The sequence below is a fragment of the Homo sapiens genome, chromosome 2, assembly GCF_000001405.40.
Source record: "Homo sapiens chromosome 2, GRCh38.p14 Primary Assembly".
In the NCBI taxonomy this organism is placed as follows: Eukaryota; Metazoa; Chordata; class Mammalia; order Primates; family Hominidae; genus Homo; species Homo sapiens.
In genome coordinates this window covers 100,124,807-100,151,215 of record NC_000002.12, presented here as the reverse complement: position 1 = coordinate 100,151,215, position 26,409 = coordinate 100,124,807, and the positions used below count along the sequence as shown (strand labels likewise).

Genomic DNA, 26,409 nt, shown 5'->3' with positions numbered 1-26,409 from the left:
AAGCGTCTAGGCTCCTAACATATAAATAAAAATGATAAAGAAATACTAAAATTTACAGAATAAAGACTCTTAGGAAAATGCTAAACATAAAGGAAGCAGGGTTTATGGTATTTCTATTCAAACAAGTTCAAATTCAATGTAAAATACATTAGAGTTATAATGAGAAATTGAATCATTTTATAAATTGGTTAATCAACATCAAAAGTAAAGTTAACAGGAACATTCATGTGCCCAAACACATAGCATCAGAAGACAGAAAGCAAAAATTGTAAGACAAAAAGTAATTAACAAAGCCCAAAGGAAGGGCTACAGTAACAAAGATGTATCAGCCAATGGAATATTGAGTTTGAAAATAATAGCAAACTCTTAGCTTCTGTTGTTTAGAACAGAGTTTCCCAAACAATAAGCACCCTTGTGCCGGAGGATCGCCTGAGTCCTTAGGTCACCTACAGAGCTTACAGCTGCGGAAAACTTCAGGTTGACCACCTCCAGGTTGAGCAGCTTTTTCTGAGACTCCTTAATGACAGCCTAAGCTGACTGGAGTCTGACCACATGGCCCACAATATGTCAGAGACAGAATACAAGGAGCTATTCCTGGCTCTCTCCGCTGGACTGCATACATTGAGCACAGGCCAGGAAGTGTCTACTGCCTGGGCATCTGATTCCACAGCCACCCAAAGAGATCTGCAGGGGCCCCTCACGGAGCAGGTAAGTTCATTGAGGGGTGCCCAAAGAGCAAGTTACACAGCAGGGATGAGGCTGGGCATCAGGGAGAGTGAGCAGGAACACGTCCAGGTCTCAGCTGTAAAACTCTATCATTATATACTTTGGAAATTTTTGTCCAAAAGTTTGCTAGGAGCAGAGCAATCCTCCTAGCAATGCATGCACAACAAACTGCAAATGAGGGCTTCATTACTATTTTTTTTTTTTTTTTTGAGATGGAGTCACGCTCTGTTACCCAGGCTTGAGTGCATTGGCGCGATGTCAGCTCACTGCAACCTCTGCCTCCTGGGTTCAAGCAATTCTCCCATCTCAATCTCCCAAGTACTATTTTAAAACATTGATATGTAGCTTAGTTCAGTACAAAATCCATTCACCGTTCACAATTTCTTTCTTTCTTTCTTTCTTTCTTTCTTTCTTTCTTTCTTTCTTTCTTTCTTTCTTTTCTTTCTTTCTTTCTTTCTCTCCTTCTTTCTTTTCAAATACAGGGTCTCACTGTTATTTGTACTCAAGCTGGAGTACATTGGCCTAATCACGGCTCACTGCAGCTTCAACATCCTGGGCTCAAGGGATCCTCCCACCACAGCCTCCCAAGTAGCTGGAGATACAGGCATGCACCACCACACCCAGCAAATTTTTTAACTTCTTGTAGTGACAAAACCTCACCATGTTGCCCAGGCTGGCCTTGAACTCCTGGGCTCAAGTGATCCTCCAGCCTTGGCCTCCCAAAGTGCTGGGATTACAGGAGTGAGCCACTGTGCCTGGCCCACAATTTATTTCAACAATGCATTTTTCAAGAAAAGTAAAGAAACACTATTAGATTCTTTAAACATAATTGTAACTGTTGTAACATTTTGAATGGTTATGTATACGTTTATATTTTTCTGACCTATTTGTGTAAACAGAGTTTGTGTCAATGGCAAAGAAGTATTTGAAGAAATTATTCTTAAAAAGTCTTGCCTAGGAATTGTATGCAGCCTATCACAAGAGAATTAAAAATAATGTTTATGAAAATTTGGCATTCATTTTAAAATATTATTTCCTAAAATAATATTTCAAATACACAAGGCCAACCAATAAAAATGAGATACACACACCCCAAATACTGGCTAATATTGTGATTTGAAAGCCATGTACCTGTTTAAAGCTCAGTCAGCCATTTAAAATTTATTTTGGTGATGTAATATAGCTAACCCTACATGGTATCAACTTAATGATTTTTTTTTTTTGCCTCTGACATGCTTTAATACCATGTATGAGGCCTTGTCGCTATCCTGTTCCTGTGCTTTCTGTATCTCATTTGTATGCAAATTCTCGTGTATGCAACTTATTCTTTGGTAAATGCTACCAGCAGATTGAGTGTCTCTGTAATTATGTTCCATCCCTGTCGGCCCTATTTGTGTCTTCTTATATCACTGCTGCAGTCCCTGCTTCATGTTCCAATCATGAATTACATACGGAGTGGCCCAGGCAGCAATTTTTCTTATTGGTGATGGGCTGCTCCACATCTCTCCCCTGAATGCATTCCCCACTTGCATGATGTCTTTCTAAAATGCATGTGTGGGACTTGTGCCTCCTTTCCTTTTGTTTCTTTTTTAATCTACTTTTTTAAAAATTTCTTTAAGAGTAGGGGTTGCAGTCTCTAACTTCTGGGCTCAAGCTATCCTCTTGCCTCAACTTCCTGAGTAGCTGGGACAAAAAGCCTATGCCACCACGCTTGCCTAATTTTTAATTTTTTATAGAGATAGGGTCCCACTATGTTACCCAGGCTGGGCTTGTACTCCTGGCTTCAAGCAGTCCTCCACTTCAGCCTCCCAGAGCACTGAGATTACAGGCATGAGCCACTGTGCCCGGCCTTAATCTACTTTTAAAACTAGATGCCATTTGGTTCTAACAGAGATACGTTGTTCAACTAACTTAGCCTCTTCTCATTTTCTCCCCCATTTGATTTATGTGATTCTAACATATGAGGTAAAATCACTTTATATACACGCGTATGTTTTGGGTTGTTTATAGCAAGGCTGAGTAATCTAATGAAAATTTCATGTGGGACAGCCATGCCAGGAATAAACATTATGCGTATAGATTTACATACAAATATAAACACAATGTGTACACCTGTCTTTACACATACATACAAGTGTATGTGAATGAAATGTGTGTGCGTGTGTGTGTGTGTGTAGGGAGGGAGCAAGAGTGAGAGAGAGAGAGAGACTGCATGCTCTGGAGCAGTCATGCCTATATTCGAACCCTAAATCTATTATTTATTTATTTTTCTTTTTTGGAGATAGAGACTAGCTCTGTCACCCAGGCTGGAGTGCAGTGGCACGATCTCAGCTCACTGCAACCTCCACCTCCCAGACTCAAGCAATTCTCCTGCCTTAGCCTCCCCAGTAGCTGGGATTGTGGGCACACGCCACCACGCCCGGCTAATTTTGTATTTTAGTAGAGACGGTGAAACCATGTTGGCCAGGCTGGTCTCGAACCCCTGACCTCAGTGATGCCCCTGCCTCGGACTTCCAAAGTGCTGGGATTACAAAAGAGAGCCACCACGCCTGGCCCCTTACTCTATTATTAACGATCTGTTTGACCTTGGGCAATTTCTTAAACATCTGTGCCTCATTTTCCTCATTGGTAAAATGAGGCTAAGATTAAATACATTCATGTAATCATGAAGATTAAATACATTAATGCATAGAAGTGCTTCTCGGTGCATAGTAAGCTTCAATAAATGACAGCTTTTTTATTATCACATAGGATAAACAAGAGATATAAATATACACACAACAGGCATTGATTAGATTCAATCCCCTGTTCACTCAGCCAAAATTCATGGTACCTGCTGAGGGCAGCCACCCTGTCAGCTGTGAAATGGGAGCCCACAGGGTCAGTGAAGATGAAGTTGGCCTCTGATGGGCATTCACGACCCTCCTCCCTCCTTGCCCATTTCTGTACCCAACCTAGCACCAGGACAGAATGGGCCACCAACACCCAGCCTGGTTGGGAATTATGATAAATGGCCCCAGTCAGTTCTAACCAGTACTCCCTCACCCACTACCACCTTAGCTGTCCCTTTGCTCAATGGGGATTCCCATACGCATGTCTCTGTCCCCTCCCAGCCTCACGAAGAGACTCACGCAGGCCCTCTGTGTCCTTGCCATCCTCATGCCCAGAGAATGCAGGCTGTGTGGGCCTGTTTCCGGGGTCCTGGAGGACAGGACAAGGTGTGTTTCCTAGGGTCTCATTCCCAATCACAGGGCATGCTTCGGCTGCAAGATGCACTTCTTCCCTCCAGGAAAGCCAAAGGAACTTTGCATGGTAAACAGGGAAATGGCCCAGGGGAGCTACAGGCAGAGACACAGCCCTTCCTGGGGGTGGTGGTGAAGCCCCGGCTTTCTCCTGCTGGAGAAGTGGGGCCTGCTTGGTGCACAGCGTTCCTGCCGCCAACCTGTGTGGACACAGCATGGCCCAGAACCCTCCCACTATCTTCTAACATCACGCCTCGCTCTGCTGGCTCCCCAGGCTGTCTGGGCATCCAAGAGACCAGGACCAAAGGCTCATCCTGTGTCAGGACTGTGACAAGTCTTCCAGACCTTTCTAGAAGAAAGCTACACCAGGAAAGGAGAAGAGTCCAGATACACCCAGACACATCACTTCTGTAAAAAGCTTTGCAGTTTATGACCTGCTTTGGCAGCAACCGTGCCCCTGTGGGAGGATGGGTATTGACTGGGCTTTCCATGTTACAGCTGAGGAAACTGAAGCTCCAGGATGTCACAACTTGCTTGAGGTCACACAGTGACTATTTGACCGAATTGGCACTCAAGTTTGTTTTCCCTCACTGCAGTCTAGTAAACTTTTCATTCATTTATTCACTCAACAAATATTTATTGAGATTCTACTATGTGCAACAGGTCCTGCAGAGACAGGCGTGGGCAGGGCCAGCACCATCTCAACTTCACAAAGCCTCCAGTACCAGGCGGAAGACACACAAGTGACTAATTGATTATAATTAAGTGTGGCGGGTGTTGCAGCAGGAGAAGTACATTTATTAACCATCGTGCTAGATGTTCTGCCAGAGGCTGGAAATAATTTTAAATGAATGAATATTGTGACCAGTCCAGCCTCCAGGGACCTGTTGCTGCTCTCACTGGATGTCTGCCTTCAGCGTGTCAAGCCGCTGGCCATGGCAGGGATGTCTGCATGGGGCAGATGGTGGCAGGCAGGCTCCTCTGAGTCTTCCCAGGCAGCTCAGGGGCAGCGAGGACCTCATACAAATGCACAGTGGCCAGACACAGCCCAGAGAGGTTGGTTGGAGTTTGGGGGGCAGCAGGGGATAAGTGGAGGACAACGTGGATGTGGTGTGGCTAGAGATGTCCACACCTAAACAGCTCGCAGAAAGTGCATTCTCAGCACTTCTGTTTCAATTGTACACTAAAAAATTAACTTTTTTTTTAGAGACAGAGTCTTGCTCTGTCACCCAGGCTGGAGTGCGGTGGTATCATCATAGCTCTCTGCAGCATCAACCTCCCCAGCTCAAGTGATGATCCTCCCACCTCAGCCTCCTGAGTAGCGGGTACTATGGGTGTGTGCAACCATACCCAGCTGATTTTTTATTTTTTGTAGCAACAGGGTCTCACTATGTTGCCTAGGTTGGTCTCAAACTTCTGGGCTCCAGCCATCCTTCCACCTCAGCCTCCAGAGTAGCTGGGTCTACAGGTGCATGCCACCACGCCTGGCTTTTCTTTTTTTTTTTTTTTTTGAGACAGAGTCTCACTCTGTCACCCTGGCAGGAGTGCAGCCGCGCGATCTTGGCTCGGTGCAACCTCCGCCTCCCAGGCTCCAGCGGTTCTCCTGCCTCAGCTTCCCGAGTAGCTGGGATTACAGGTGTGCGCCACCATGCCCGGTTAATTTTTATATTTTTAGGAGAGTCAGGGTTTCACCATGTTGGTCAGGTTCACCATGTTGGCCAGGCTGATCTCGAACTCCTGACCTCAAGCAATCCGCCCACATCAGCCTCCCAAAGTGCTGAGATTACAGGCATGAGCCACCACGTCTAACCACCTAGCTATTTTTTAAAAATTTTTAATTTTTTTGTGCAGACAAGGTCTCACTACGTTGCCTAGACTGGTCTCGAACTCCTGGCCTCGAGCAATCCTCCTGCCTCAGCCTCCCAAAGCACTGGGCTTACAGGCATGAGCCACCAATCCTGGCCAACTTTTTAATTAAAATGAAGACATTCTGCCTTAGAAGTAGTAGCTCTCCTTGGTATGAAATTTATAAATTTTACAAGCAGTTTACAGAATAGTGAGGTAAACAAACAGAATAACCATCATGATAATCTCCACCACTTACTGAATACTTATGACATCCTGCACACACACTATGTTGTTTAATTTCTACAGTCACTCTATGAGTGGGTACCGTATAGACGAGGAAGCTGAACGTAACATCCCCAAGTTACCCTTGCTAGTAAATGATAGAGGCTGAACCCAAACCCAGGTCTTTCTGGAGGCAGAGCCCACCCTCCTGACCATCAAATTGCCCATAGTATCATCTAACATGAAGGCAATGGCTTCAGCCCGCACAGGTGAGGAATTCTGCTTTGAGATGAGCAGGATGGAAGGGTTTTTAATATCCATGGGGATCTGCCAGATAGCCAATGGAAGTGAAGGCACCCTGAAAGAGGAAATAGCATGTGCAAAGCTGTGACATAAAGCAGCCTGAAAGTTCAAGAAACCATGAGTGGTGGTGGGATTGTTGGGTGGTGAGGAAGGAAGTGGTATCAAGGATGGCAAGAGATGGTATTGGGGAGTGGGCAGAGGCCACTGAATCCAACATCTCGCCTGCCCAGCGATGGAGCCTTGGGATTTTCCTGTGGGTGACAGGGAGCCATTGAAGCGTTTAAGGACTGGTCGTGGGGTGAGGGGAGTGTACTGTCATCATTTTTGTAGTCTTTTGCAGAGAAAATTTGGAGGCAGTTTGGAAAACACTCTAGAGCCTGACATGTGAGAGATGAGTTAGGAGGTCACGTGTCCCCACTTTTCTAATTTTGTATCTTCTTCAGCAAAAAAGTCTTTGCCGCCTATTCTGAGCAGATGTATGATTATTCACAAATGATATACAATACAACTGTATTCACACATTGCATGCCTTGAAACATACACAAAATGTAAACACTAAAAACATGACGTAAAAATAGATGTAAGTCTGGGAACTCGATGGAGGTGGTGGCTGCACAGCATTGTGAGTGTACTCAATGCCACAGGATTCCCCATCTTAAAACGGCTCATTTTATGGTATGTGAGTCTTAATTAAATACAAAAACCAGACAAGTGTGGGTAGATAGACATTCAATTCCTTTCTTCTCATCCTTCAGTGAACGGTCTGGTGTGCCCTGGGTGCACGTACCCCTTGGGGATTAGGGCAGTGATGAGAGGCAATGGAGGGAGGGTGTGGCTGTGGAGATGCGGACGGGAAGAAGGATCTGAGGAGTGACTGAAGAGGTAGAATGGGCAGGGCTTGGTGATGGAAGGTTGAAGAGTATTCAGCAAAGAGAAGAACGTGGGAAGCCTCCCCATTTCTGGTTTGGGTATAAGATAAAGAAACGTTTTCTCCTTGCCAGGGACATGAGGCAGACAATACTGGGATAATTTCCCAGGGCTTGGGATAGGACTGGGTGGGGAAGTTTCTAGGTATCCATTCTCAGGATAAGGACGGGCCTGTTTGGATGAGGATAATGGAGGGTCAAACCTGAAGAAGCCAGATTAGCAGAGGCAAAGTGAGAGATCAGAAGGTGGTAAACTCAGAAGGGGGTAGAGACCTGAGGAGCAAGCTGGGACAAGGCAGGAGGGAATTCACAGGCCACATGGTAAGTAATGAGTGGGGTAGAGGACAGAGCAGGGTTTCATTGTGGCGAGTCTGACGGGAGGTGCTGGGGGATGTTCCAGGAGAACAGCAGAAATGTGTGATGCTATGGATGTGGGCTTGGCAAGTTCCATCTGGAGCTGGGAAGAGGCCACCCATGGAGAACAGGAACCATGAGGCGGAGAGTGGAGCTTGCAGGAGGGCGAAAATTAAGACCAAAGAATGGAAGCCTGCCAGTGTGAGAGACCGCCTGACAAAAACCAGGAGAGTATGGAGTCATGGCGGCCCAGGCAGAAGTTCTGGGAGGAAAGAAATGGTCAACACTACAGGGAAGTCAAACACTGCCAGTGGAGACAAATAGGACAGGAACTGAAAAAGCATCCATTAGTGAATCCCTGGTGTCATTAGTGAAAATAATTCCAGGCATGAATGGGGAGAGGGAAGGGTGTCGGGCAGGAAGTCCAGTGCCCGTGGGTTGACTGAATGGGAGATGAGGAGGTAACACCCATCATGTAGGTCATGTAGAGCAGCCTTAGGACATCTGATTCCTTGCCTAAGACTCTTCTTTCCTGGTGTAGCTTTGTTCTAGAAAGGTCTGGAAGACTTGTCACAGTTCCAATGCAGGATGAGCCTTTGGTCCTGATCTCTTGGAGGCCCAGACAGCCTGGGAAACCAGCAGAGCTTTGGACAAGTTAAGCAGCCCATTGAAATCAACATTCTTGATAATCATATATCTAAGAGATTCCAAAATGTTCCTGGGATTCTTTTATGGGTCTGCATAGGGTTAGAAAGCACAGGAGTCAAAGAGACCTTCTCCCTTGGCCTCCAGGGCCACCATCCTCTGCTTTTGTCAGTTGGTCTCCCCAGAGTAGAGTCCAGGTTCCTGCTTCCAGCCTTCTGGTAGACCAGGCCCTGCCACAAGTGAGAGTTGGCCGGTTGGGTATCTGGTTTAGTCACTCGCCTCCACACTTTCACATCCTCTATCAACACCTGCACACTTGGGTTGTGACCACACATGCTCTTCCTGTTTGTACAGAAAGTGCCATTCAGAAAGCTCGCCAGCGAGAAGAGAGCTCCACGCTCAGCCTCAGAAGAAAGACGTTCAACGACTTACTGGGGAGAGAAAGAAAAGGAACGGGAGCTGAGAGGTAAGATCAAACTGGAGGGTGTGCGGGCCCTCTAGGATGCCTTGCCTGGAAGAGAGGTAGCCCCGACTTTGTGTCCTGAAGGGTGGCGCTCTAAGTAGCTGTGCCCATGCTCCGCTGGTCAGGGCAGGGGGAGCATTCTTGGTCAGCCTCACCGAGATGGTCCAGGCCCTGGTGAACAGCCAGAGGGATTGAGAAGGAAGAGATGGGATGTGACCAAAGTTGGTCACTGAAGCCGTCAGTGTGTGTGCGTGTGCATGTGTGTGTGTGTGTGTGGTAGAGGGTGCACATAAAGAAGACATAACCTGAGTGTGAACATGCTCACACACATATTTATGATGCTGGCTGGGGCCTTATGAAAAGTGTGTCTTAACCTCATGTTGCTCATTAGCTATAACCTCAAAAATAGAAACCATGACATGGCCACAGACTGGATCCCAGTCAATGGCCCCAGTGAGTGAGCTTGCAAGGAGAGATCATGGGCAGTTCCACCTAAGGCCACCGTCACTTCTGCAGAAATGACTTGGAATAATGACCTCCTCACTGTTAGGGGCTAACAGCACTATATTTGTATTTCTTGGATGGAACATTGTATATGTGTGTATTTGTGTGTGTGTGTCTGTGTATGTGCATAAACACATCATGTATTTATACACATGACATTGTGTGTATGTGTGTTTATGTGTGTATATATATGTACACACACATATGATATAATGCAATATACACAGTGACCAGATTTTTGAAACCAAAGAGAACTAATAGCAAGACAAAGGGGTTTTTTTCCTAATATGTGATTTCCTTGCTATTCGAGTCTCACATATATAAAAATGAAATATGTCTACACATGTGTTTCATAATTCCTTTTATTCAAAGAGGGGATCATTCAGGTAGCTAAAGGTCAAGTGTTTACAATAACAAAGTGGTGGTAAACTCATTCTTTGAATGTTGATCGTACAAACTAAATAATCCATCAAAAAATGTTGTCTCTGCCATTATTAAAAGCATGTGTTCCTTGGTGCAAAATTTAAGAATGTTCTAACTACAAGAGCACCTTCCTTTACCTAGGGCTATCCCATCTCACTGTTGAAGTGAAGTGATTACAGTGAAAGTAATACAGACATTTAATATTCTTAGTTTTGGTTGTGTTTCTGTCAACTGCTATTCCCTTGTTCTAGGCGTAACTGCACTTAGTGTTTAGTGGTGTTATGCATATGTATATTTGATTTGCATTTAGAAAATAGAAAAATATATACATTGCTTATTTTCCAGATTTCAAGGTTTAAATTCCCACTCTAACATGATGGTTTTAGGCAAGTCACTATACATCTCTGCATCGGAGTTCCCACATCTGTAACACAAGTACAATAGTAGATAGTAATCCCTTCCTCTTAAGAATTAAATAAGCTAATACATGTAAAGTGCTTAGACAAGTGCCTGGAACATTGAAAGGGCTCAGTAAGTATTAGCAGCTGTTATCATTGTCATCATCATCATCATCATCATCACTACCTTTTGTACAATTAAGCCATCAAACTTGAAGGGACATGGTAAGAGTTTGGGAAAGGTGAAAGGTGGGAGGTGGTGTGTGTAAAATGGGTTTGGGGGGTGACACTTAAGGCCAGAGCAGTGACATTACAGTCCTTACACTGTAGCTACAGACAAGTAGTGAGCAGGAAAGAGGAACAGCACAGAACACCCCTCCCTATGAGGCCTGCTTGTGAGAGGAACATGTTCTGGAGCTCTGTGGGCTTGATGACATGTACTCATACACATCTTGTACAGCAAACCAGGAAATAGGCACATGGAACGGTGACATCCAAATGATAGTATATAACATGCATTCAGTGCCTCTCAGGTGTGAGACGTGGTGCTCGGCATTTTACACACATTTTGTTATTGTATCTGAGCCATTGCAATTATGCTTATTTTAGAGGAGAGATTGGTAGGTAGCCTAAGAGTGCAGAGCAGGGAAATAGCAGCGTTGGGATCTGACCATCTCCAGATTCTGTGTCCCAATCCCCCACCCATCACACCCAGAATACAAAGCAAGTAGTAACAAAACGTGACCAGTGAGGACGTCCAGTTTCAGAGAGTTTAAGAAACAAGTTCAAAGTCACAGAGAAAGCTGAAGGCATGGTGAGGAGCTGGATGCTGGTTTCTAAATTCCAACCATTTTTTCTACACCACTACTCAGAGGAAGGACCTGATGTCTTGCCTATCAAGGTTGACAGCTATGGACCCTTCCATAAATAACTTTTATCTTCTGCACTTCCACATCTTTTTCTGTGAAGTGGGTGTAATGTCCTGTCCTACAGAGTTCACAGGATTTTATGAGGGCTCAATGAGTCTACATACGTAAAATGCTGTTATATTATTTCCGAGTCATGTAAGGAAAACGTGTTGAAATCCACCTTCGGTAAAGGCAAGTTAAATGGAAATGAAAAGTATAAATAATGTTGGTTCTTAATGACATGTCATTAGGTATGATTTAACTTGTTCTTTCAAATGACCCATTTGCACCCTCTGGAGCTGATGTTCCATAATTTGTGCAACCATTCCCATATATGAAAATTTAGTTGATTTCCGGTTTTTGAATATCACAAGTTAAATTGCAATGACTGTTCTAGAAATCCTTTAGTGCAATCATCCTATCTGTTCTTTTAGTATTTCCAAGTCTGACAAACAAGTCATATCTCATTTCTGCTTTCATTTGCCTTTTTTTTGGTTATTAGTGAGTTGATTCTCAATGTTTTAAAACATAGCTTTGACAAAAACTAAAAACATTATTCTTCATCCAGAAAACAGCCAAAAATACATGCTCCTTTCAAAGTGAAATGGCACCATTGTTCTCATCATTAAAATACAAGCAGGTGTTTGTGTACAAATACAAACCTATTAAAAAGCATCTTGCACAGATATTCCTCTTTGTAGTTTTTATCTGCACTAAAAATGGGGGGTTATAATGAATACAAGACAACTAGACTCCTGCAATAACTAATAAACACGACAATTTGATTTATTGCTGTTCCTCCCCTATAGCCTGTTGACAGATTTTTCTTTATGGAAAAATTACCATGGTTTAAATCTCTATCATATGGCACTTAATTCAATCGGCAATATGTTACCAATTAGATCCTGCTTAAACTACCATCAGCCAGCAGACCAGGGGACATGTTAAATGGAATGACAATCAGATAACTAGTAAAATGCTTTGTGGCAGCTTTCTCAGGACCAAGGAGCAATGTGGAGACCATGGATAATGAAGAGAGAAAGGGCAAATAGGGCTTTTACTTTTCCCCATCCTGAAAATTGAAATTGTTTCAAGTTCTCCTAAAAGCATGCAAAGAGTTTGTGTTTGAGTGGTGGTTGTATAAGTTGATATTCACCACTTCCCTTCCGCCCTTCATCCTCTTGCCCCTTTGATGATAAATTGGCAAACAGAAAGGCATTCTACCCCCAAATCCTCTCTAATGTAATGATGCATAACTTCAACTCAGTTGTTGTGTCCCATTTAGTGGTGTCTTTTTTTTTTTTTTTTTGAGACAGAGTCTTGCTCTGTTACCCAGGCTGGAGAGCAGTGCCATGATTTCGGCTCACTGCAGCCTCCGCCTCCTGGGTTCAAGTGATTTTCCTGCCTCAGTCTCCTGAGGAGCTGGGATTACAGGCGCCCACCGTCACGCCTGGCTAATTTTTGTATTTTTAGTAGAGATGGGGTTTCACCATATTGGCCAGGCTTGTCTCGAACTCCTGACCTCAGGTGATGCGCCCCCCGTTGGCCTCCCAAACTGCTGGGATTACAGGCATGAGCCACTGCACCCGGCCTACTGGTATCTTTTAAGATTTCACCTTTCTCCCAAGCCCTGGATGATGACCACAGTAAAGAGAAATCTTTTTAAGTGGTATGAGCTCCCTTTTTCTATTTTCCTCTTGGAGTCTGGTTGTATCAGATAGTGCTCCTGTTGCAAAAGACAGAAACTGAATCAGGCTATGCTGAACAAAATGTCAATCTAGCAGAACAATATTGGGGGCTGATTGACTTAAAATAGAGCAGCAAGCAAAGGTAAGAACACCGTTAAGAACCACAGGAATGGAAATGTGGCAACAGTCTGGGCCACATGATGTGGCTGCCACAGTGACAGATATGACCTCAATTGTCCCCATATTGGGATGTCACTTATTTAAAATCCCAGAAAGAGGGGAGAGAGTGATGACCCCTGTTTAGATCACATGCTTGCCCCTTGAGGAAAGGTAGACCCTCCATTAGACTTCCGGCCTATCTCCCACATCTATGCATGGTGAGGCATCCCCAGAAGGAAGACTGCGGTGGTAACAGGAAGGGAAGATAGTTGGTGGTGACAGCAAAAAAATCACAAATGTCTTCCACACAGTCATTGCACGGTGAGCTCTGAGTGGAGGCTGGCTTGTTATCATGGGCAATCTAATCGTTGGTGGGTTTGTTTGCAGAAATAGGCATACAAAAGGGAGAACTGGCAGATGGCCACCCCATGCTTCCTGCATCCTCATTCTGATTGCTTTGCTTCCACAGCTGGGAGTGGAGTATGAAGACCAAGGAATTCTCTTAAAGACCTGAGCAGTTATCTGGAACTCCTCACAAAATCACAGTAATGGATATTATTTCCCAGTTCCTACTCTACACTGGGCATAGATGTTATGGACATCTTCTGAGTCCCACAACACCCCTGCAAGGCAGATATGATACACTCCTTTCACCTATGGAGAACGGAGGCTCAAAGAGGCTAGGTGACCCTCAGGAAACACAGATGAGAGGTCCCCGCCCAGTCTGCCCAGCTCTGAAATCTTCCATGCCAACTCCCTTAGGGCGATCCTGAGTCTAGGCTGTACAGGCAGTTCATGTGGTTGTATTTGAATAAAATCCCTTTCCTCCAGGATGCCTCTGTGTGTCTGTGTGTGTGTGTGTGTGTGTGTATGCACGTGTGCACGTGCACACATGCACGCACCAGGCACACATAACCAGGAAGAGTACTGAGGGGTAAGTTAGGGGCTCAGAGGAAAAACATCCCATGTGTTACAACTTTGCCTGGGCTGTCCCTGTTTCTAAATACCATGGCAATATTTTTTGAAGCAAAGATCAAAGGACATATGGTCTGACTCATGGGTTAACAAAGGGAAAAATCTTTGAAATTGGGAATATCTGGGACATTCTGAGATGTGTGGCTACAGTCATTCCCAGAGCACCTGGAAATCATGAAGTTCTTTGGGAAACACCATGAAATCCTGTCATATTAAATCCCATCCTCCAAACTAGGAACGATTTTACTAGCAGAGATTAGGACAGCCTTATACATCGGTTATATAACTTCATACATGTGGGATCCCACGCGGTGAAAATAATAAAGGTGTTGCAATCTGTTTGTATCAGCAGTAAAATAATTCAAAATAATAGAATTCTTTATATATAAATAGATTCCTTATGGCAAAAAGAAAAAGGTCAGTAAGAAAATGCAATGGGGAAATGGGATGCAATTCATAAAAGGCATCAAAAGTTAAATACCTAGAAAAGAATTTAAGAGGAAACACCACAAGACCTATATAAAAAGAATCTATAAAATCTACTTAGCGATGTAAAACATACATAAATGGAAACATATACCACATAGAAAACTCAATATCAACTCTCAGGAAACCAATTTTTATTTTAAAAGATTAAATTAAAATTCCAATGCATTTGGGGAGGGAGAGGACTTGATAAAATTCAAATGTCAAATTTCAAATTAATTTTAGATAAGAATAACCAGGATACTTTTGAAAAAAAGATGAGAAAAAGAGGAAGTGTGCTACTTGTTTTGTCAGATACAAAAGCTTCAGCGGTCACATAGCTCCAAATGGATAAACAGATCAATGGGGGAGAAGGGAAAGTGTGAAAGTGCACACACACTCCCACATGTGTCCATTTAGAATATGGGAAAAGCCCCTTTTCAAATCAGTAATTTCAAGAATGAGGACAGTCATAGTGAGAATTGTCAGTCTTCATTTGACTTGATTCTTCAGCTGATTTGACACATTCACTTCTTCCTTCTGGAAACCTTCCTCCTCTGCCTCCCAGATCATCATTCTCTTCCTCTCTTCCTACCACACTGGCCGCGCCTTCTCGGCCTCCCTTTTGGGTGCCTTCTCCACCTCTCCCACATCTCCGGGTGGTGAAGCGCCCCAGTCCCCCGATGGCCCTGCTTTATCTGCATTCGCTCCCAGATGATCTGGTCCACTGTGACCACTGAAACACCAACGATGCCCAAACTTACATCTCCCAGCCCTGACTTCTTTCCCAACTACAGACCCAGCTCTCGCACAACACTCAGTCTCTCCTTTTGAATGTGTGTTCAACCTTACGTCTTAACATGTCCGAAGCAGAATTGCTAATTTCTCTAACTCCAGCCCTGTTCCTCCCACAGTTTTCTCACATCCCCACGAAGCCCCTTCATTCTTCCAGTGTCAGCCTAGGACCTTGAAGCCATCCTTCACTTCTTTCCTTCACAACCCATAGCTAATCCATCAGCAAATCCCATCTGTGTGTTCTTTGAAATCATCCAGAATTGAATTGCTTCTTAGCACTTTAGCCTCTGCCTCCCTGGTCCTAGATCCTATGGTCTCTCCCCTGCTCTCCAAAGTAATCTTCTTTCCACACTCTCCCTCCTTCACACTGTTCTTAGCGCAGAGCTGGAGGAATTCTTATAACACTTAAGTCAAAATATATGACTGCTCAGAACTCTCCTATGGGTCCCTATTTCACAGTTCCAGTTGTCCCTTGCCGCATAACCAACTACCCTAAACCATGGTGGCTCAAAACAACCTTCCGCATTTGCTCAAGATGTCATGGGTCATGAATCTGGGTATTTGGTTGTCTGGGCTGGCTGAGCAGGAGGATCCCCTTCCACTCACACGTCTGGTGCCTTGGAGCTCCTTGGGCGCTCTCTCTCTTCATGTGGCATCTCATTCTCCCAGGCTCTCCCTGTGCCTTGGGCTTCTCACAGAATGGCCATGTTTTGGTGGTTGCACTTTTTGCATTGTGATTGGTTTCTAAGAGGCAGGAAGCAGAAGCTGCCACAGCAGTTAAGAGTTGCTCCTAAAATACACAGCAGCCTTTATCCCGTCTTCTATTGACAAAAGCAGTCACCAGGCCTGCTAAGACTCAAAGAGGTTGAGGAATAGGTTCCACCTCCTGAGGGAGGCGTGACAATGTCACATTGCAAAAGATCTCACACACACTGCTGTGGCCATCTTTGGGAAATACAATCCACTACCCTCACCCAGTGCAAAATCCAAGGTCTTCACTGTGACCTATCAGGGGCTACATGATCTGGCTCCTGTCACCCCTCTGAACTGTTCTGGTGCTCTCTCCCTTATTTGTGGTACTGCTCCAGTAGAGTGGTCTCTTCATCATTTCTTGAACACTCCTATGTCATGGCCTAGCACCTTGGAGCTCTTCCCCAGATGCATAGGTCACCTCTCACTCCCTTTAGGTCTCTGCCCAATGCCACCATTTCAGAGAGAGCTTCCCTGACCACCTTGTATAAAATAGCCAGCCTCTCCCTGTTCACTGCATTTAGCTCCATTTACCATATATATTTAGTTGCCATTATCTGCTGTTTCCATTAGAATGAAAGTTCCTTCTTGTATCCCAAGGACCTAGAACAATGCCTGGTCCTATGGGTCTTAGATAAACTGTTTACTGAATAAATGAACGATTGGATAACTTTTCAGTAAATGATATTGAGACGCTGTCTAACTGCTATGGGTGGTGGAGAGGAGAGTAAAAGCTAGATGCAAACCTAGTGTATTAAATCAAAATAAATTCTAAAAGGATCGTCATGTGAGATAATAAAGCTGTAAAATTGCTAGGGAAAAATTCAGGTAAAGATTAAATGATCTTGGGATGATAGTTTTTTGTAAGCCTGATACCAAATAAATAAAGTATAAATGAAAATAAAGATAGCTTTGACTCTGTCGAAAATGCCACAAAAACATAAAAAGATGAATGGCAAACCTGGAAAAATACTTCAATATATAATGACAGCTTACTATCCTTCATATATAAGGAGCTCTGTCAAATAAATTCAGAAAAAAAATACAGATGCCTAATAAGCAGTTGGGAAGAAAAATTTTACTTTATTAGTAAACCAAAGCTACACATTGAAATACAATAATATTGATGAAATTTTAATGCTAGTATTAGTGTTGGAAAATGCATATTTTTATACAAGGCTTATATGAATTCATGTTGGTACAAACTTTCCTGTGGGTAATCCCCTGTAGTAGCTGTCAAAAGCCTTAAAAACTAGATATTTCTCCTGATGGGTGTATGTGCAAAGATATTTATCATAATGTGTTTCATCATAGCAAAAATGAGGAAACAAGCTACATTTCCAAAGATAGAGAGTGGCTTGAGCAAATTGTACCATATTAGTCCAGTGAAATACTATGCAGTCATGTAAAATCCTGATATATATTTCTTTTGAAATATAAAGATGGCCCCTTTATATTATTATTGTTATTTTATTTTATTTATTTTTTTGAGACAGAGTCTCGCTCTGTCACCCAGGCTGGAGTGCAGTGGCGCGATCTCAGCTCACTGCAAGCTCCGCCTCCCAGGTGCATGCCATTCTCCTGCCTCAGCCTCCCCAGAAGCTGGGACTACAGGCGTCCGCCACCATGCCTGGGTAATTTTTGTGTATGTTTAGTAGAGACAGGTTTTCACCGTGTTAGCCAGGATGGTCTCGATCTCCTGACCTCATGATCTGCCCACCTCAGCCTCCCAAAGTGCTGGGATTACAGGCATGAGCCACTGTGCCCGGCCTATTTTATTAAGTGAAAAAAAGTTGGATAAAAAGTAGTACATGAGAGCCAGGCACAGTGGCATGTGCCTGTAATTCCAGCTGGGAGGCTGAGAAAGGAAGATTGCTTGAGTCCAGGAGTTCCAGGCTGTAAGTCACTATGATCATGCCTGTGAGTGGCCACTGCACTCCAGCCTGAACTACACTGTGAAACCCTGCCTCTAAAAGAAAAAAAAAAGTAGTATGTGTAGTATGACTGCACTCTGGTTAAAAAACAAACAACGAAACATACATACTAGGAGATACATTTTCAAACATTAAAGTGAATATTTCCAGTGATGGAATTGTGGATGAGTGCAGGGTGTTTTTTTTTAATTGTTTTTACTTCTCATATTTTATTTTATTTTTTAGAGACAGGGTCTGGCTCTGTCACCCAGGCTGGAGTGCAGTGGTGATCACAGTTCACTGCAGCCTCCAACTCCTGGGCTCAAGTGATCCTCCCACCTCAACCTCCTAAAGTGCTGAGATTACAGGTGTGAGCCACCGCACCCAGACAGCAATATAGTCTTTTAAAATATGAGAGCCAGGTATGGTAGTGCATGCCTGTAATCCCAGCTGTTGGGAGGCTGAGGTGGAAGGATCACTTGAGCCCCAAGAGTTCGAAGCTGCCGTGAGCTGATCACACCTCTGCACTCCAGCCTGCAAGACAAAGCAAAACCCCGTATCTAAAAAAAAAAAACAAAAACAGAACATTGAGAAAACCCAACCCATTGACCTAATTTCTTCTTTCAAATTTGAAAAGGCCAGCATCATTCAATTTTTTAAAATTTTTAATAATATATTTTACTTAATCCAAAACAAGAAAAAATATTATCATTTCAATGTGTAATCAATATAAAAACAGGAAATGAGATATTTAACATTTTTTTGAGTACTAAGTCTTCAAATTAGATTAGCTATGATTCAAATGCTCAGCAGTCACATGTGGTTAGTGGTTACCATAGTGGACAGCGAGAGTCTGGTTATTCACTTGGCATTAGTGTATGTATACTGCCTTATACTTCACTTAATTTTCAACTAAAGCTGAGGATGAAGAGGAAAAAAGATACCGCACCCTTTGTTTTTCAAGAAACTTTTCTAAATTTCTCTAGTCTTTTTCTTTTTTCTCTCTTCATTAAGTTATTATATCTTATTGATCTTTCTCTTGATTAAGCAGAAAAAAGACTTAACTACATTCTTTGTCTTTTTAGTAGTGTTGGCTTTGTTTTGTTGTTTCTAGAGTTATTTTCTGATTGACAAAAATGTGTATATTTATGGCACATAGCATGATGCTTTGATATAGGTATACATTGTGGGATGGCTAAATCAAGCCATTTAACATATGTATTCATATGTATTACTTGTCATTTACTTATTTTGTGTGTGTTGTGAGGATACTTGGAATCTACTCTCTAAGCAATTTTCAAGCATATAACACATTGTTCTTAAGTATAGTCACCATGCTGTACGATGGATCTCCTGAACTTATTCCTCCTGTCTAACTGAGGCATCCTTCAATTTCAACAGCAGAATCCTAGGTACAACCTGTGGGTTTAGATGGGGAACCAATTCTCCAAGATGTGGAACTAAAAATGTTCTGCCAAAGGAGGTGGAGTGTGTGGCGGGCCGGTCCTCCCTCGGAGCTGGGAGCAATGTACCCCTCAAGGCAGGCACTCCATCCCACCCTGACTCCTTTATGTCCTGGCTGAGTGAGGGTGAGCCAGTTACCTGTTCTGTAAAAGGGGATGGCAGATTCAATGAGCAAAGATATGAACCCTTCTTAGAACAAGGTCTAGGATATAGTGGGTGCTCAACAAACATTAGCTTTTAACATTACTATTATCTTCTAATGCCATGTATGACACACAGATGGAACTTTAAAAATGTTTATCCACGCCTGTAATCCCAGCACTTTAGGAAGCTGAGGCAGGTGGATAACTTGAGGTCAGGAGTTCAAGACCAGCCTACCCAACATGGTGAAACCCCGTCTCTACTAAAAATACAAAAATTAGCCGGGTGTGGTGGTACATGCCTATAATCCCAGCTCCTCGGGAGGCTGAGGCAGGAGAATCACTTGAACCCGGGAGGCAGAGGTTGCAGTGAGCTGAGACTGCACCACTGCACTCCAGCCTGGGCAACAGAGCAAGACTCTGCCTCTAAAAAAAATAAAAATAAAAAAATTTAAAAAAAGTTTATTTATTCTTTCACTCATTCATCCCTAGATCCCTGGGGTGTGTGGTAGTCTTTGGTGGCAACACTGCTTTATATCAACATTTGACTCATATATATAATGGAGAGGGTGCTGCAGAAGTTCTTTAATTCTTGAGAAACCTATATTAAAAGGCAGCCTCTCCCACGAAAACTGCACTCACATCATATCATTAATACTAACCTGAAAATCATACTCATTCAAGTAGCTTAAGGGATGAGAAAGTACCATAGAGAGACTAAACCAGCACTTTCTCAGTTTGGTTAAACCAATAATAAACTTTGTCCCCAGGTGTAAGTTTCCCAGGATTAGTAAGCTGCCCCGTTCTTAAGCAGTGGCTGGAAAGTTGAGTGCATCTTTTTTGTTGTTTTAAGTATGGTGTTTATAATCTGGGGCTAGAGAAACGTGGAGCTGAAAATATTGCTATGGAGTTTCTGACCATTAATTTTATGAGTCTATTATTCAATCTTTATTGTTGTCTGGCCTGCAGTTATATTTTTGTACTTTAAGAGATGCTTGACTATCTTTGTTTGGAAATGAAGAGTGAGTGGTTAACCTTCTGGCCTAGCAGGTGCCCTCTGTCATCTCAGCTGAGAAGCCTGTGGTACTGCTAGTGTCTCTGTCTCTGTGGGGCTGTCTCTGTGGGGCTGTCCTGGAGGTAGCTCATGCCCCAGGGACCTGCGATGGCAGCCCAGTGATCTCATCAACCCACACTGCAGCCAGTGATTTTGCTCACAAACCTCCTAAAAGAACTACAGGAAACTCCATACTCCGAAGCTTCCTGGAAATCAGTATTTGAAACTGCCCCTTTGGTGCCCAGGGGCTTTTATTACTTAGGCAACGCACTGCTATAAGATTTGGGCAGGCAGTGATGTGCCTGTGGGCACACGGCTGAGCCCGTGGATGGAGACTAAAATCCAGCCCACACTTCTCTTGCTCAGAGAAAGGGAAATCTGTTTTCTAATTCTCACAAATGCATTGGCATCTCATCGAGCCCTGTGCCCATGGGGTGCACTCTTCAGAGCGGGTGTCTCTTACTTTTGCGCAGAGGACAGGCCCAGATGAGGTGAGTATCTGGTCTGGCAGAAACCTGGGGTGCAGAAACGTGGAGCTGGCATGGAGCCTTGCCTGCAGAGCATTCTCGGGCACATCAGTTTTAGGAAGGATGACATCTGCAAGCTATGAACCTAGCCATAGTTTGCACTAACACTGAATGTATTCATGAACTTCTGGAAACTTCACGCATCCTACCTGAGTTTGGAGACTCCTATCTCAATCATTCTGCTTTACGTGCCACACGCTGTCAACTGACAGGGAGCTACTGAAAGTGTGACATACACAATATGCCTCCCTTAGGACAGGGATTCCCGCTGGCAGCACTTGGCCATGGCATGCCTCCTTTTCATGCACAATATGAATTCTATGAGGCAGGACTACATAGAGGCCACGTGTAAAGGCTTCATTGAGTGTTAGACCTGGACTGAAATCCCAACTGTGCCTCCCACTATAAAATAATATTAATCATCACTCATTGCAGGCCTCATACATGCCAGGCACTAGAAGCTATGTGACCATGAGCAAATTACTTTTCTCTCTGAGTCTCAATTTACTCTTCAGTTAAAATGGGGACAATAATGGAACTCTCATCTGGGTTGTTGTGAGGATTTATTGAAGCTGTATCCAATTCATTTAGAGTTCCGGGAACATGCTAAGCGCTCAGTAAAAATTAGCTGTTTTTATTATATAGACACTGGATCTGCATCAGCTTTAATGTGCCGATTACCTGAAGAACAAGTGAATTAGACGTATTGGGAAGAGGGTTAATTCCTCAGGCTGGTGGGGCATTTTGTGAAGCACAATAGTAATTTTCTAAATGGCTCTGAGTAACCTGTAAAAAAGCATGCATGTAACACAGGCCCCTTTGGGTTCCTAGAGAGTAAATTGCCCAGCAGAATGACCTGACCATTACTTGCTTGTAAAGCAAACTGTTTTATACATGAATATGTATACACACACACACACACACACACACACACACACACAGAGTTATAGGACATTTGCCAGGGAAACTACTAAACTGATGTTTTTGCCTAAATACCCAATCGCTTTTGTTTTGCAGAAAGTTTCACACATATGATTTAGACCTTACGATCAGCCATTGTTTACATCGGGAAGCATCAATCCGGAGTAACTGGCAAGCAGGTACACATTCAAGTGATACAGTGATATCTCTGCTGCAGTTTCCTATGATTCGAGGGGAAAAGTCATTTGGGATTTTTGTTCCAGAATCTCATCAGAATAGATATTTTAGTTACGTTAAGCGGTTGCTGCTGCTAACCCAGTCAATGGTGACAATGTTGATGAAACCAGGGGAACTGAGAAGGTAGCCAGGCCTATGAGCTGTGGGCCTGTGTTGTGTCCAGAGGCAGATGCTCTGGAGCCCCCTGACCATTGGCCCTGACCTCTGACCCCACTCCCTCCCTGTGTACTCCAGGACACAGAAATGTGTCCACAGGAAGGATATACAAATTAAATATCTCCGTGCTGAGACCTTAGAGGTCATCTATTCTAACCATCCTCTCCCTTCCCAGCACACTTAGACATGTAGTCAACAACTCTTTAACTACTTCTGGCAACGAAACCTTTTGACAGGGCCATTCCTTTTTGAAAGAGTTCTAATTACTTGAAAGTCCTTTATTTCAAACTGAAGGCAGCCTCTTTGTAATTTCTACCCTTGTGTCCCATTTCACCTTCTGGTGTCACAGTGGCTCGATCTAAGGCTATGGGGTTGACCTAGGCATGCAGGTCGCAATTCTCCGCATTCAAAGCCTCCTTGGGGCCAAATAACAATAACCAACGTTTATTAATCTCCAGTGGCATGAGTTTGAAGAGGCAGACTCTGGGAAAGTCATTGCTTGACCTCTGAAATTAACTTCCTTGAGTAGGTCACTCTGGTCTTCCTTAACCAACCACAGAAAAAATCAGAGGCCTCTGGAGAGGTTTCCCCATGAGGCTGGGCTAGAGGAAAGAGAGAGAACTAGGGGTGGTATTATCCATACCTGTTTTAAAGGAGCCTCTGTTACAGGAAAGTGGTCCCGATCCAGACTCCAAGAGAGGGGGTCTTGGATCTCACGCAAGAAAGAATTCAGGGCGAGTTCACAGAGTCAAGTGAAAACAAGTTTATTAAAAACGTGAAGGAATAAACGAATGGCTACTCCATAGACAGAGCAGCCCCGAGGGCTGCTGGTTGCCCATTTTTATGGCTATTTCTGGATGATACGCTAAACAAGGGGTGGATTATTCGTGCCTCCCATTTTTAGATGATATAGAGTAACTTCCTGATGTTGCCATGGCATTTGTAAACTGTCATGGTGCTGGTGGGAGTGTAGCAGTGAGGACGATCAGAGGTCACTCTCATGGCCATCTTGGTTTTGGTGGGATTTAGCCGGCTTCTTTACTGCAATCTGTTTTATCAGCAACGTCTTTAGGACCTGTATCTTGTGCTGACCTCCCATCTCATCCTGTGAATTAGAATGCCTTAAATGTCTGGGAATGCAGCCCAGTAGATTTCAGCCTCATTTACCCAGCTCCTATTCAAGATGGAGTTGCTCTGGTTCACACGCCTCTGACACCTCCAGCTTAGAAAGGGAGCTAGCCAGACAGGGTTGAAGATCTACCTACTCCGTGAAGAACTGTTTTCTGATGAATGCCAACTCCTGCAGGCAGTGTCTGCCATCCTGGGAGCTCTCCAGGCCTCTGGGTAACAACTCATCAGTCTCTGGGCAGGGACTTCCTTGGGCTACTCTTCTCAGGGGTTGTTTATTCAAACATTCAGAGCATTTGTGCAGCAGTGGCATGGAAGAGCAGTTGAAGCTGAGAGGTCAGGCAAAACAGGACCGGAGGTCAGGGACTCCACAGGAAGTGACCGCAAGGAACCAGAAGACCCCATTTCCCCACCCCAGGCTAGTTCTGACTCCGACACCAAGCAGCCTTGTGACCCTGGGCAAATGTCCTCAACCTTTCTGAACCTTGTGTTCCTTACCTATGAAAGGGGAATGACCTTCACCCCCACCCACATCACAGCAGGAATGTTAGAATCAGATGAGACAATGGAGGCACATGACAGTGAGGGCCAGTTGAAGTGACAGAGGGAGGGAGCAGGACTGAACATCCAGATTAAAATGAGACAAATGCAGTCCGTAATCCTGGATTTTCTAAACCGCTGAGTCATGGACACTAAACACCTAGGGGAGCCTCGGTCATTTTTTCTCTGACTGGATGAACTGTGATTGCAGAGTTACCTCCTAGAGATGATGGAATGATGCCTCTTGGAGGGCCACCACCAGGGACCTCCCAGAGAGGATGGAATGATGCATATAATGGTGCCACCACCCGCAACTGCCAATAATATTTCTGTAACCTCACAGAGCAGCCAACAGCTCATTGAAGCAAATGTATATGCATCAGCACTGTTTCCATCTTAGACTTTAAACAAGTTTAATTAATAATACCCTCCTTTCCCAGTGTGTCAACACAACTCCACCTTTTCATTTTGAAAGAACTTAAATAAATATAGAAATAAAATATTCAATTATTGGAAACAGAAATGAGAAAACATAATTGATTTGAGAGGCTTTTGCTACAAAAATTCCCTGGGGCCACTGACTACATTTTATTAAAAAATATCACACACTTATATTTCTACATTTCTTATGTAATAATTTTGAGTTTCTCAAGGGGGAAATAGTATTATTGAAAGAAAAATAATTATGACAAGTATTAAAGATTAGTGAGCCAGATTCCCCTGGTGTGCAACCAACATCCTGGGAGTAAGTTAAGTGCCTTAGAAAGCGACGTGAACTCTTGTCATTGAGTAAATTACTGCTTCGATGCACTAACAAGGACCCTAGTGGGTTGGAAGAGTTAATTCAGCTTCCCAGAGCACCAAGCCTAATCCCCGTGCAGCATTTGTGCTCTGTGAGAATCTGGATCTGTGTGCATCCACATCTATTTCTGTCTTCTAAGAATGGGCACTTCTTCAGAATAGAGCCCATATCTTTACAATTATCCTTGGCAGCTGGCCCGGCCTCATGCTCCTGAGAGCCCAGTAAACACTCCTCTGGCTTCTCGAACAGAACATGCTTTGCCACTGATCAATGCCTAAATTGTCCTGATCGTGTTTCTCTGCCTCCGTGCTAAACCAGTGTCACAACTTCCTGACAAGTAGCAACACCTTGGTGAGGAGAAAATCCAGCCATTTCCCCGGCATTCCCAGCACATCTCATTCGCCTCATGCAATAAGCACAGGATGGGTGTGAGAAGTTGGCCACGCTCTATTTATTCAGTTATCTAATAGGTAGCATTTTCTTCTCTTTTTTTGGTTGCTCAAAGTAATTAGATCCCATACATCAAATCCAAAGGTCCAGGCCATTCCTGATCAGTTAAGAACAGAATGCCATGGCACCCTGGTCCCAAGTGTGTGCACAGAGCATTTCTTGAGCAGTTCATCAGCATCCTGAATGTGGCCTACCATGCCTGTGTAAACCTGGCCCCTGCCTACCTCCCCAGGCTCACGCGGAGCCTGTCACCCACCCCCTGCTGTGCTCCAGCCAGCTGGATCTGTCTTCCTTCCACTTGGAGTCTCCACACTATTTCCTCAGCTGGGAACACCTCCTCTCCTTCCTTGGCTGGCTCCTCCTCCAGAGTTCTTCCTACATTCCCCTCCCCAAGGTGACCACCCCCTTTACAGCATGCCTCATTCTTCCATAGTTTTCACAATTACAGATTTTTTTTTTAACCAAAATAATACCTCCATCTGCAACTACTCAGTGTTGGAAAGCAACAGCCCCTGGCCCTTCTCTTCACCTCCAGTACCATTGCCCAGGGTGAACTTCTTTTCATGCATTCATTAAGCAGGTATTCCCGGCACCCAACCATTCTAGGCTCTAGGGATACAACGTTGAACAAATGAGACAGGCATGGGCCCCACTCTGCGAGCTTGTTTCCATTTTTCCATTCTCTATTCTTCTGGTCTTGCCTTCACATAGACAACATGCTTATACCTCTATTTTTTTTTAATCTGTCAATAATAGATGATATTTACAGACTCCATAATATGAAAATTGAGGATATAGCTCCATAATACCACCCCTCTCCTCCCAGAATCTTGGACATTGCCAGGGTCTGACATTTGCATTTTTATCTCTGTTCTTCTTGTGTTTATTGTTGTAATGTAAGGTGTTATGCTAAATCTCCATTTCTCATTTTATCAACTTTCAACAATATGTCTCTTTATTTCCCACTTTAAAAGATAAAGTTATTGATGGCCCTCTCCTCTTCTCCACGTTCTATCCCCACCATTCATGTCCCATTTCCAGATACATGTTTACCTTTTGTTTTTGTGTTGAAATTGCAACCAAGTTGCTATGATTCTGTCATTGACTGATGAAGTCATGTATTAGGAATGTGTTCTTTTTAATATGTCTTAAGGTCATGACCCCTGGGCTGATCAAGGTTCCCAGAATCATGATTCAGTGGAATTTCTCTCTGTCTTTATGCTCTAATTTTGCCACATTTTAGTTTGCTTCATATATGAATTATGACCTTATTATACATTCAG

At 43.7% G+C, this 26,409-nt stretch overlaps 1 protein-coding gene across 7 annotated transcripts in view; it reads left to right on the top strand.

Moving 5' to 3' along the window:
• The window catches only part of AFF3 (ALF transcription elongation factor 3), a 597,172-nt gene continuing 579,388 nt past the window's right edge, over positions 8,626–26,409 (top strand). For 6 of the 7 annotated variants that reach the window (XM_047444286.1, NM_001386135.1, XM_047444281.1 and 3 more), the window contains exons 1-2: positions 8,626–8,732; positions 21,910–21,992. The gene's annotated coding sequence lies outside the window, so the exon portion shown is untranslated. The remainder of the gene's footprint in view (positions 8,733–21,909; positions 21,993–26,409) is intronic. The other variant, NM_002285.3, reaches the window with a different exon arrangement.